We start from the raw sequence: 13,633 nt of genomic DNA on the forward strand, positions 1-13,633 counted from the left end.
CCCTCAAACCAGATTTTGACTTAGGAGGTCTGGGGTAGAGTCAGGGACTCTGCATGTCTGTATTGGTCCCTAGAGCCAATGTTGTGACAGCCATGCACTCACCTGGATGGTGAATCAGCCCAGTGGCTTCCATGAGCTCAGGCTCAGACAACTGACTGCATATCATGGTTTAAAAAGTACTTGCAAATGATGCTGATGGCCTGTCCCCAGCCAGGGTCTGGAACTGCACCCTACAGTATCGGGAGTCATAAATGGCTATCGGGCACTTGAAATGGGGGCAGTCTAAATTGAGGTGTGCCATCAGTGCAGAACACACGTTGGGTTTTGAAGACTTAGTATGAAAAGAGAATGTAAAATATTTCATCAGTAATTTTTAATATTTATTCTATGTTGAAATGATATTTTGGCAACATTAGGTTAAATAAAACAGATGTTTAAATTTCTTTTTAGGCCAGGTGCGGTGGCTCACGCCTGTAATCTTAGCAGTTTGTGAGGCTGAGGCAGGAGGATTGCTTGAGCCCAGGAGTTTGAGACCAGCCTGGGCAGCATGGGAAGACCCCATCTCAAAAACAAAAATTTATTTCACTCGTCTCATTTTTTTTTTTTTTCAAAATGAGGCTATTAGAAAATTTGATGTTGTACTTGTGGCTTGCATTATATTTTTATCAGATAGCTCTGGGCTAGAGCGTTGAAAGAAGATGACATCCAGGGGAAAAAAGTGGTGATCAGAGGGGCAGGAGGGGGTCGGTTCATTAGTCAGTCAACAAACAGTTCCTGAACATATGCTATGTGCTCAAGGTGAGCCACGCAGCCGTAGCCTCTGACCTTGTGGAGCTGGCAGTTTAGAGTGGGAAAACCCAGTTATCTGGGGACATCCTGAAAACAAGGAGAGGGGCTTTCAGAGAGGAAGCAAAGGGCCATAACAGAGTTGGAGTTTGTGGCAATATTGCCACTGACTTTGAACCTGGCCGCAGGCTGATGTGTTCAAACAATAAAGTTAATTCTGTTCTCTGGTCCAGGCACCGGGCTAAGTCTTGTCTGCATAATGGAATAATCAACTGGACAACCCCGCTAGGTAGGTACTGGCATTAGCCCCATCTTACAGCTGCAAAAGAGGTGCTCTGAGAGGTAAAGTGCCCTGCCCCAACGCGTACAACTAGAGAGCAGCCAAACAGGTGTTTGAACCCAGCTCTGCCTGACTTCAGATCTGTGTGCTTAACTGCCATGAGAAACCACTTTTCTTTGCTCCTGGCTGCAGAAATGCAATGCTGCAATGTTGCATTCATATTTATTGTTTCAGGGCTCTCTCTCATGCCAGCTCTCCAAAGGGGAGAAGTAGGCTGCCCAATTCCCGCCCTCTCCTCACGACCTTGCTGGCACCCTCCCCAGCTGATATCATAGGAAAATTTGACCCATTCCCAAATTCAGCCTCTCCACATTCAGCAAGCCCCTATCCCCATGCCTGTGGCTACTGGCCAACTCTTGGGTTGGGGGTGACGCTGCCAGCAGTGGGGGACTTGCCCCTGTGGCCAGAACAAAGTTGGAACTGAAGTCACCTCCACCTCCTCCCCTCTTCCTCCCTACCACCCTCCCAGCTGCCTGCCACGGTCCCCAAGCCACCCCCAGCTTCAGTGCAATTTAATGTCTCACCGAGCTGTCCTTATTTGACAAACAGGTGATTTTGCTAACGAGGAATAAATGAGATCCACACGATGAGAGAGGGTGTGCGGCAGCTGGCGTGAGGGCAACATGCGCTGGGTTTATTAAAATAATATCTGGCCACATGCTCAGAACTCAGGGTCCAGGGTGGGGGAGCACCTCGCTTTTCTCTCCACCACCTTCTGCTCCTGCCCAGCCATCATCTTGTCCCTGTTCCCTTCCAGCTTCCGAAAGGGTGCCTGTCCCCAATTTGGGCTGGACAGTTGGCATGGATGGGGGAAGCCTGGAAGACGGAGGTGTGAGAACCTGGGTGTGTGAGTGTGAGTACGTGTGTGTATGTGACTGTGTGTGAGTGTGATCGCGTGCACATGCATGCCTACGTATGTGACTGTGTGCGGGGCTGGACTGTGTGTGCGGGGCTGGACTGTGTGTGCGGGGCTGGTCTGTGTGGGAGAGGCAAGTTTAACAGAAAAGGGAGCAGGAGAGAGTGGGTGGGGGATTTGAAGAGAGTGGGCAGGAGACAGGGAGGAAGTGAGGCAAACAGGGGCCCAAGGAGGGGAACAGTGGGAGCCTGGGAGCACAGAAGCCCCAAGTGGTGGGGGAGCTCTGGGTTCTGGGATGGCTCTGAAGTTACTGCGGTATGACCTGGGGTGGGTGTCCTCGCTCTCTGGGCCTTGGTTTCCCCCACCTGCGCAATGAGGGGTTGAACTTTTGCCTTGTGCTGGTCCTTCTTGCACTGCTGTTTGATGAGAAAGGAAGACAGCAGAGTTGGGAAGGGGAGAGGAGGAGCCACAGTACAGGGGAGATGTTTCCTATTCTAAGGCTGGGGCGCTAAGAGAAAGTGTGACCCCAACTCCCCAGGGGCAGCCTGGCCACATTTGCACCAAACCTGGATGGTGGATCTTCAGGCAGGAATGGGAGTGAGGGCAAGGTCTGAAACGAAGGAAACAGACAGGTGGTGAGAAGGTGGACTTAGGATGGAGCAGGCAGCGGTGGCTGGGAAGGCGGGAGGCGTGTCCTGGGCTTTGCATCTCTGGCTTTGCTTATGCTGTTCCCTCTTTGTCCCTTTCTGCCTGGACTCATCCTCAGACTCAGGCCCACTATACCTCCTCTCTGAGGCTGTTCACCTTCTCCTATTCCCCCCAGCAGACATTACTCTCTTTTTGAGCCCAGGGAGCAGCAAGAGGACCATAGGAGAGGGTGGCATCCTGGAAGGCCTCCTGGGGGAGGTGAGGCCTGAAAGTGAGTTTCAAAGGAGGCAATGGCTCCTGAACTTCTGACAGTCCATGCCCCTTGTGGGTCTGTGCCCACCTGCCCATGACTTTTACTTAACATTGCTCTTGAAGTGGTGTTACATAAAAGTCATGGGCAGGTGGGCACAGACCCAAAACATTTACTTAGCATTGCTTACAACGTTTACTTAATATTGTTCTTGAAGTCAGCCAACCCTTTGTGCTTAAGTGGATTTGGAGAGGCAATGTGTACATTACAGTGGCGTGGAAATCCAGCATCACTGAATGGGCTTGTTAACATATTTTCTACCAGAAATGTATTTTCCTGGGTGACTCATGGCATTAGGACACGTTGGTCTAGGCACAGGGGGAAAAGTGACAGGAATCCCTGAGGCTCCAACTGGGGGCCTGAGCTGAGGCGGGGCAGGGGGCGTGGTGGGGGCAGGGCAAGCAGGTCTGTGGGGCCTGGATGCCAGAGGAGAGGGGTGGGCTCCATTAGCCAGAGAAGGTTGGAATGGGCATGTCGAAGTGGCCAACGTGCTCCCGCTCCTGGGGCCAGGGAGGCTTCCAGTCACCTGAAGGTGTGGGGTGGGGTCTCCTAGGGACAGCGTCACCGCTTCTGGCCTGTCCACGTGCCCTATGACTGCTGTCACTGTTCTCCCTTTCTCTGTTCCTGTCACTCCCTGAGCCTCTTTCTCTTTGAAGTGCCAGGCTGTCTGTCTGTCTGTCTTCTCTCATCTCTGTCATTTTCCTTCTGGGTTCCTGCCGTGTGCACAGCCTCTCCTCCACAAGGCAGGCTGGGTCCCTCCTCCTCTTCCTCCTCTCTGACTCCTCTCCCCCTGCTCCCCAGCCAGCCTTTCTCCCCAGAGTCTCTCCTCTGTATCTGCCTTCTCTGTGTCTCTCTGCTTCTCAGTCTCTTCCCATCTTCCTTTCTCCTTTCTCTCTGCCTCTCTGTTCCCTCCCTCCCTTAGTCTCTTTGCCCATCTCTGACTTCCAGGCTCTCTAGATCTAACTCCATGTCTCTCTGTCTTTATGTCTTTCTCTCTTTCCCATAAAACAAGGATGTCACCCCCGCACAAGGATAGTGATCCTTCAGCCCCTCCCCCCCACCAACACACTGTCCTTAAATGCACACTAAAACCCTAAATGTCCATGGTGTACCCTCAGCTCATGGGTCCCCACTGCAGCCATCTCATCTAGGAACCCACCCTGTCTTCTTGTGGGTGGAATGAAGTTCACCCTTGACCGTCTTAAGGACACTCCCTCTGAGCCCAGGGCACAGCACACAGTAGGTCTTTGGGAATGGTTTGAGGAGTGACCATGATGGGTACAGCTGTTCAGGCTGGTCCTGCTGCTGTGTGGTTTTATCTCCGAGAAACTCACCCTCCCAGAGTGGAAGGAAGAGAAGCAAACACACACACCCCCACCCACCTGGCTCCCCTCACCCTTCCTTGACAGAGGAAAGACAGTTTTCTTGTCTCCGGCTGTCTTCCTTCCCATCCATCATTTCCTCTTTTCTGCTCCCTCCTCCAGTCCCACACCCAATCACTCTTACTGACTCCTGGTGCCCTCCCCCAATCTCCATCTCCATTGGCCCCAACGCAAACAGTCTCTCCTCCTTGCAGGGATCAGAAGTGAGCCAGGGTGATGGGGAGGGAGGTGTCTTGAGAATCAAGAGTAGAGATGATTCCGGGATATGCATAGAGCTCTGTTGGTTAATAGCCCGGAAGCCTCCCTCTCCCCACACCTCCAGTCACATGGAAGGCGGGGAGCAGAATTTCCATCTGAGATTTCTCAGGGCTTCCCATCTTAAGTGAGAACCCAATACCATCCTTTAACAATGATATTCAAAGTTATACCGTGATGCTATGTTGTAAGCATTTATCCATGCTTAGATCTTTAAGAAGTAATTTATAAAATTTCAATACAGAATGATCCAAACCCCAACAAAACAAAGCAAAACACCCAGGCACAGAAAACAGCCTGGAAAGAAATAAGCTATAATATTAATGTTGGTTTTCTTTGAGTGGTGAGATGCTAAGTAAAACATGTATACTTTTAAATCTTTTTTTCTGTATTTTCCAAATATTTCTTAGTGAGCCTTTTAAGATTAATTCATTGTTCTCAAGTGGCTATGTTTATCCATGCAGCTGTATATGTGCTTAACATTTTGAACACCTATTTAACAGTGCTATTTTGAAAGTACTTTATTCTCGTGTTTACGTTTTATTTATTTTTGGAGTAGGTAATACCTTCGTGTGGTTTATAACTCAAAAGCTACCAAAAAAGTATGAAGTGAAACTACTACCTCTCTCCCTCCCTGGCCACCTGGCTCTCCTTCCTAGAGGGAAACGGTAGCACCTGTTCCTTATATATGCTTCCAGCGACAACATCATGTTAGGAATTCAGAAACATACATACTCCTTTAAGAATAGAGATTACTCAAGGATTCTGTAGCACCACTGAGTTTTCCCTTCTGCTTCAGGAGACCTAGTCCTGGGCCAAAGGTTGGAATTTCCCCAGCCCAGACAGGTGGTCTCTCTGGCCAATGTCCTCTTCCAGAACTCTTCCTTCCAGCCCTCCTGGCCTCCGACACTGGCCAAGACACAAAGTATCCCTTTTTCTTTTTCAAACCCTCTAGTATTCCTGATTACAAAAGCAATGCCTGAATGAAAACATTCTGGAAACAGGCAATATAGAACCTTCACTGTAATTGTACCCTCAGACACAATCAACAGGAACATCTTTTGGTTAATATTTTGCTGTGGTTTGAATGTGTCTCCCAAAATTCATGTGTTGGAAATTTAATCCCTAATGCAACAGAGTTGAGAGTTGGGACCTTTAAGAGATGATTAGTTCTTGAGGGTGCTGTCCTAATGAATAGATTAATGTTGTTAATGTGAGAGTGGGTTTGTTATCAAAGTGAGTTTAGCCCTCTCTTGCTCTCTCTCCCTCTCTCACAGCGTGTTGCCTTCTGCTATGTTATGATGCAGCAAGAAGGCCCTCACCAGTTGCAGGCCCTTGATCTTGGACTTCCCAGCCTCCAGAATCTTGAGCCAGCTACATTTCTGTTCATTAAAAATTACCCAGTCTGGGGTACTCTGCTATAGCAGCAGGAAACAGACTAAGACATAGTTCCTCAGCATTTTATTCTAGGTATATACTTTTAGAAAGTGGAGGTGGATGGAGCAGAGTGTGTGGCATTTTCCAATTCTTTACTTAATATATCTTCACTTAATTTATCTGTCAAGTCAGTACAGAGAAATATGCCTCATTAATAAGATCCATTTTTGAGATGTGGTTTGGAGTAAGAGAAGGGAAACATTTTGTGCTTTGTCTGATGTTCCTTATTCCTTGCTTTTTGTCTTTTTTTTTTTTTTTCAGGTGCAGGGCCTGATGAAGTCTAGATGGGTGAAATTAGTAGCCAAGCTAGGGTACTCAAGGTACTTGATGCCTCAGCTGGAAGGAAAGAGACCCAGAGGTCCCCAGAATGGTGGAGCAATGCTCTCCAGCCAAGTAGGAAACACTTATTTTGCTAGAAATGATGAAGGGCTGCTTTGGTCCAAGCTAGCAACTGTGGCCCAGGCTCATGGTCGCTCAGTATTAGCTTGAGACACCTTAAAAAGACGATGTAGCTCACCTCGCTGAAGCTTCCATAGACTGAGCTGCCAGAGCTGGCCGGGACCTGGGAAATCTCCAGATGAAGGTGGCTTTAGAGCCAGGAGACCTTATCTAGTTGCAGCTTGGTGAGACCCATGACACATCCTCCTCCTCCCTGGGCCCCAGTTTCCCATCTGTAAGAAAAAGAAAGTGGAGGGGGTGTTAGCATTAAATGAGAGCTTAGGAGATGCCAGGTGCTGTGCCAAGTTCTTTACATTTGATGATCTCATTTTATCCCCAGCAACTCAGCAAGGTAGGTACTGTTAGAAGAGGAGCCATGATTCAAAGAGATGAGAGAATTTCCCTGAACAGATCCAAATGATAAATACAGGGGCCAGGATTTGAACCTAGGATTGCCCAACTCCAGAGCCCAACCTCTCGACCCAATGGCCTAAGATTCCGTGCCTTAAACTGACTTTCCCATAAAGACAGCCACCAAGGGGACTAGGAATGTGATTGTGTCTTTAGTGGGCTTGGGTTTGACTTTCTCCGACATTGTGTTCCTTACAATCTTCTGATGCTCTTGGCCTCTTGGAGACCAGGCTTTGGATCCTACTCATTCTTGCATCTCTAACATCCTGTGCATTGCCCTGTGCACAGAAGCACTCAAGAAATATTTGTGACGTCATTTCATAGAGCATCTTTTGAACTCCTCTTGTACATTGGGCACTGTCCTAGGTGCTAGGGATAAATAATGAAAAATAATAGTGTGTAATAATAATAGTATTCTTTGTCTTGTGCTAGGTGGTTTGCTAAATGTACATAGGAATGCACACACACTGTCAACTTGTTTAGTGCAAACCTCAAAACAACCCTACTATACCCTCAATCCTTATATGAGAAAAAAGCTCAGAGAGGTCAAGAACTTTGTTAAGGGCACACAACTGATAAATAGTAGTGCTGGGATTTAAATATGGGTCTGTCAAGCTCCAAAGTACTCTTTGTCACTAAATTGTATTCTTCCATCTTCCCAATCTCTGGCTTCAAGTTGCTCACAGCCTACTTCAGTAGACAGGATACAGGCACAAATAACTATAATAAGAGGTAAGAGGGGGTAGGTACCTTCAGAGAACTGTAGAGAATGAACGAATAATGCAGATTTTGTGAGCTTAGAAGATGGAGAACCTACTTGTGGTTGGGAAAACAAGAAAGATTTTAGGAAAACACAGTGGCATGTGCATTGGGCATTGGGAAATAGGTAGAATTTGCAACTGCAGAAATTGCAAGAGAGGAGCTCAAGGTGGGGTAAATGTTCAGAAGTGAGAAATTGCAGAGCAGGTGCAAGAAATGTAGGATGTGAGTTTTTGTGGAGGAAAAGAAGAGGCAGGGAAGGAAATAATAATGATTTGGACACAATGTATCTTATTAACTTAAATAATTTGTCAGTTGTTTCTTTTGCATTTTGTAGGTAGACAATCATATCACATATACATAATGTCTCTACCTTTTCAAACATCATATTTTTGTGTTTTTTTTTTCTTGTCTTATTGCATTGGCTAATGCCTGAAGTACAATGTTGAGTAGTGGTGGTGATCTTGGGTAACTTCATCCCCATCTTGTATTTAAATGAAAATATTTTAAATATTTCACCAATCTGTATGTCACTTGATGAGATTTCATTAGGAACTGGAGTTGAAACAAATTGTATCTGACACATTTATGAGCCTCATCAGATTCTCTTGTCTCATCTGCTTCCCAGACCTTAGCTGTTTGGTCAGCCTTAGTCACCAACAGCAGCCAACTCACTCCACATAGTCTCATGCAATTCTGCTGTCTAGGGCTGATCAGCTACTAGCCCCGAGTCCCTGACTTTTCTTGTCACTTTTGGACTTAGGAGAAATATCACAACACAGTGTATGGCTTCCCAAGCAGCTGCCAGTGGGGCTGTATGATGCAGCCCAGAAATGCAGGGGAGTTAACCCAGGGGAGAATCTTTGACCAAGAGGATCAGAAGATAGGGAGGGAGCTGATCTGATAAATTCCCTCCTTCTTCCTCTGGTGGACTAGTCAGAGGCACAACCACATGGAGGTGCCCTGCAAAGCTGAGCAGCCCAATGGCCAAACAACCTGCTTTCCTTTCCCAAGAAGCAGTGAGCAGCATAGCAATATATCACCTTGCCTTGCTCCCATCTGCTCCTGCCTTAATTCCTCCTTCTCTCACTCTCACTGCCTTGGGTTTGTACCTTTTAACAAGTTACTGTTTTCTGGAACCTGCACAAGGACATTTTCCATATTCCTATTAAGCATTTATTGAGATAATCATATCATTTTCCTCTAAGCTGATAATGTTGTGAATGTCATTGACACTTTGTTCCAAAACATGCTTGTATTCCTGGGATAAACCCAACTTGGTGAGCAGATCTTTTTGCAGGTGTGGAAGAGTCTGTTTTCCATACTGTCGTATACCTTGTGAGTGTGGCTGTGTGTGCACACCTGGCCATACAAAGTACCACAGCCTCTCTCGTTTCCAGCCGTGTTTCTCCTCTGCAGATGGAGTCAGGCAGGCTGGCAGCTGGAGATGATGGAGGTGGTGGCAGCAGCTCTGAGGAGAGTGGGAGGGGGAGAGAGTGCAGAAAGTGTGGTAATTAGAAACCAGGCGGTATCACAAATCTCCCAGCCGCACTGACACCCGGGGAGAGTGATCACACACTTGGAGTCAGCCCAGATAACTGTGAAAGCTCTTCACTCCATCTCTAGGCAGTAAGAGGAAGGGGAAGATGAGGGCTTTGGTATCCACAGCCCCACCCCCTGCACTCAACCCAAGAGAACCATGAGGTCATCCTTGCACTCCCCCTCCCTCAGCTGTGACCTGGGTCAGGGAACTGTGACTCAGAGGTGTGGAGGAGCAGCCCAGAACCCTGTAAAGATAAGGGAAAGGTCCTGGGATGATGTGGCCCTGGAGAAGGAAAGGTGAGGAAAGAATTCATCGTGGCATCCAATCAAGGCTAGGTAGTCTTTAACAAGCAAACTCAAACTGGCCCTCATCAGAAGTGGCAAAGCATGCTTCCCAAGGTTGAAAAATTAGTCCCTGAGGAAACTGGAAATTAGTATGGGTTGAAAGGCTCCTGTGTGTGTGTACCAGGGATGAGTTAGGTTATTTCTCAACAATCCTGCTGTTTGCTGGATGAGGAAGTGGCAGCTCAGAGAGGCTGCGTCCTTGGCCCAAGGACACACAGCTCTGCAGTGGTGGAGGGGAGATCTCCCTACTTTGGAAGCCATTCATCTCCCTTTTCCCCTAATAAACAAGTGGAAGCTCTACCTCTATGGGACAGGTGCTTGGAGGTTCAGGGTGTTTTCAGCAGCAGGGAGGTGGGCAGGTGGCCTTTTGATTCCAAAACAATAAACAAACAGGAATGTAATCCCCCACCCACTGGAGCTAGCTTCTTTTTGGGCCAGTGACTTTGGTTCCAAGGGAATTATAGAACTAGAGATTCTTCCTCTTTCTCTGGTTGCAGCAATTCCCAACCCGGGAAGGTGGCCCAAGTGAGCAGCCTTCACTGGCCACAGTGCGAGGCTCTATGGGTGATTCAGGTGTTGCCCTTTCCTTCCCTTCTCAGGCTGGCCTCCTCCCTAGAGTGGATACCTGGTAAGAAGTAGAAAACTGGAGAGGTGGGGCCAGCCCATGGAAGGTTCCCCAGATCAGCCCAAGAATTCACATGGAGGATCTGTAGTGGGGTGTCCCAGCCTCTCACTGACTCACTTGTCACTTGGCTCCTGGCTTGTTCTGTTTCCAGAACATTCCAGAATGGCTTCTGGCATGGTGTTACAGGAAAGGAGTCCCAATCCAGACCCCAAAAGAGGGTTCTTGGATCTCATGCAATAAAGAATTCAGGCCGAGTCCATAAAGTAAAGTGAAAGCAAGTTTATTAGGAAAGTAAAGGAATGAAAGAATGGCTACTCCATAGGCAGAGCAGATCCAAGGGCTGCTGGTTGCCCATTTTTATGGTTATTTCTTGATGATATGCTAAACAAGGGGTGGATTATTTATGCCTCCTCCTTTTTGGCCCTTTTGGGTAACTTCTTGACATTGCCATGGCATTTGTAAACTGTCATGACGCGGGTGGGAGTGCAGCAGTGAGGGCGACCACAGGTCACTCTCGTCACCATCTTGGTTTTGGTGGGTTTTGGCTGGCTTCTTTACTTATCCTGTTTTATCAGCAAGGTCTTTATGACCTGTATTTTGTGCAGACCTCCTATCTTATCCTGTGACTCAGAATGCCTAACCATCTGGGAATGCAGCCCAGTAGGTTTCAGCCTCATTGTACCCAGCTCCTGGTCAAGATGGAGTCACTCTGGTTTAAACGCCTCTGACAATGGGGCCTCTCTACTCCTGCCTTTTCCTTTCTCTTGTAACACCCTTGATTTAGGCCTTTGCTTGGCTGTTTTCTCCTTGACAGTGAGGTCTCCACTCTGCAGAGAGGACTTCCCTGACCAAAGTAGTTCCTATTACTCTACCTTTTTTCCCCCCATGGCACTTATTGCTGCCCATAGGCAAATTAACAAATAAGTTAGACACAATAATTTTTGTCTCCTTTCCATCCCATGCTCTGCTTTTAAGTGGTGGATTTTGTAAAATCTAGGATCTTGGGTATCTTGATCACTGCCGAGGCTGGGTACATAGTGGATGTTCAATAAAATAGTTGTTGAATAAATGACTGAATTAATGAAGGGAAAGCACGTAGGCTCTGCCACTTACTAGTTGCATGACCTTGAGCACGTTACTTAACTTCTCTGTGCCTCAGTTTTCTTATTTTTTAGAGATAAGGTCTCACTCTGTTGTCCAGGCTGGAGTGCAGTGGCATGATCCTAGCTCACTGCAGCCTCGATCTCCTGGGCTCAAATGATCCTCCCATCTCAGCCTCTCGAATAGTTGGAACAACAGGTGTGTGCCACCATGCCCAGTTAATTTAAAAAAAATTTTTTTTTTTTTTGTCAAGACGGAGTTCTTGCTATGTTGCCCAGGCTGGTCTCAAACTGCTGTCTCAACTGTTCCTCCCGCCTTGGCCTCTCAAAGCTCTAGGATTACAGGTGTGAGCCACCATGCCTGACCTAGTTTCCCTATTTATAAAATGGGGGTGACAGCAGGACGCTCTTCTTGTGGTTGTGGCCATGAGACAATGCAGACAAGTCCTCTTATATCCTGGTCATCACTGGGTAATTAGATTACAAAGGAGGAAAGTGGGGCACAGAGAAGAGTGGCTGGTCCTGGGTCCCAGAGAGCATCAGCTGCAGGTGGAGATTGTTACTTGGATGTTCTGGCTTCTGGCATTCCTTCCTTGAGATGCTGGGACTCCATTCAGTAGGTCCTAGGATGCCATCTTAGAGGCCTGAGCAAGTATAGCCATGTCATAATTTTTAAAATGAAAGTAGAGTTTTAGAAAAAAGCATCTAGCAGACAGATGAATGTGTCCCTAGAGAAAAGTGGCCCCTGAGTTCCAGGTAGGGATGTTCATAGCAGCTCTGTTTGTAAGAAGCAAAACCAGGAAATGATCTAAATGCTCCAAGATAGGAGAGTGAAATTAATGGTGCTTTTCCCGTTGTGCGGAAGACTCAGCTGTTGGAAATGTGGATGAACTAGGGCTCCACACAGCAACCAGGAGGGATTTCACAAACTTGGCCTGAAATGAGAAGGGCGGTATAGCGTAGACAGTGGTCAGTCCTTCCCAACCAGGGGTAATTTTGTCCCCTACCCTGGCCGGGGACACTGGACAATGCCTGGAGACATTATTGGTTGTTACAATTGGGAGGTTGCGGGGTCCTACTGGCGTCCGGTGGACAGAAGCCAGGGATGCTTCTCAACATCCTGCAGTGCACAGGACAGTTCCACCACCAAGAACCATCCAGCCCCACATGTCAATCAAGCTGAGACTGAGAAACCCTTCAGTGGATCATGCTATTTAGATAAAGCTCAGAAACATGCTAAGCAAACTGTGTGTTTAGGAATACGTACATTCTTGGCAAAAGTATAAGGAAATGCATTTTACTAGATTGTTCCATGAGAGTGGGATTTTTGTTTTGTGGTTGTTCACATGTTAGTTGCTTCGCCATCACCTTTTAAATGAGTGAAGTAATTACTGATAAACATCAAGTTTGGGATAGTGATTATTTCAGGGTGGGATGGAAATGGAAAATGCTTTTTTGTATATCCTTTTTTTTTTGTTTGCTTTTTGAGACTGGGTCTCACTTCATCACCCAGGCTGGAGTGTGGTGGCACAAACACGGCCCATTGCAGCTTTGACTTAGGCTCAAGTGATCCTCCCACCTCAGTCTCCCGCATAGCTGGGACTACAGGCATGTGGCACCATGACCGGCTAATTCTTTTATTTTATTTTTTGTAGAGATGGGGTCCCTCCATGTTACCCAGGCTGGTTGCAAACTCCTGGGCTCAAGCAATCCTCCCACTTTGGCCTCCCAAAATGGTGGGATTACAGGCATGAGTCACCATGCCTGGTCTTTTTATGTCTTAAATATATTTCATAACAATAAAAAATTCCCTGAGAGAGGGGCAAAAACAGTGTATTCTTCCTACTTTTAAAGACAGACTCACCTCCGATCTGGGCTCCCCCTCTAACTAGCTTTATGATCTGGACATGGTGATCAGTTTGAGTCTCAGTTTTTCTCATCTGTAAACTAGGTTCCTACCTCCTGTATTTGCCATTTAAAAATGCTGACAGGGTATGATGAGTCATGCCTGTAATCCCAACACTTTGAGAGGCTGACCACTTGAGGCCAGGAGTTTGAGACCAGCCTTGCCAACATGGCGAAACCCTGTCTCTACTAAAAATACAAAAATTAGCCGAGCGTGGTGGCCCACAACTGTAATCCCAGATACCCAGGAGGCTGAGGCAGGAGAATTGCTTGAACCCAGGAGGCAGAGGCTGTAGTGAGCCGAGATTGCACCACTGCACCACAGCCTGAGCGACAGAGCAAGTCTCCGTCTCAAAAAAAAAAAAAAAAAAAAAAAAAAGACTGTTTCAAAAAATAAAAAAAAGATGTAGCACAGCGGCTAGGAAAATACTTGGAAAGATCTGAGGAGCAGGTAGTATTGATTCCTTTGTTTCTGTGGCTCCCTGCCCCTCCCC

This window comes from Homo sapiens, chromosome 12 (assembly GCF_000001405.40).
Source record: "Homo sapiens chromosome 12, GRCh38.p14 Primary Assembly".
In the NCBI taxonomy this organism is placed as follows: Eukaryota; Metazoa; Chordata; class Mammalia; order Primates; family Hominidae; genus Homo; species Homo sapiens.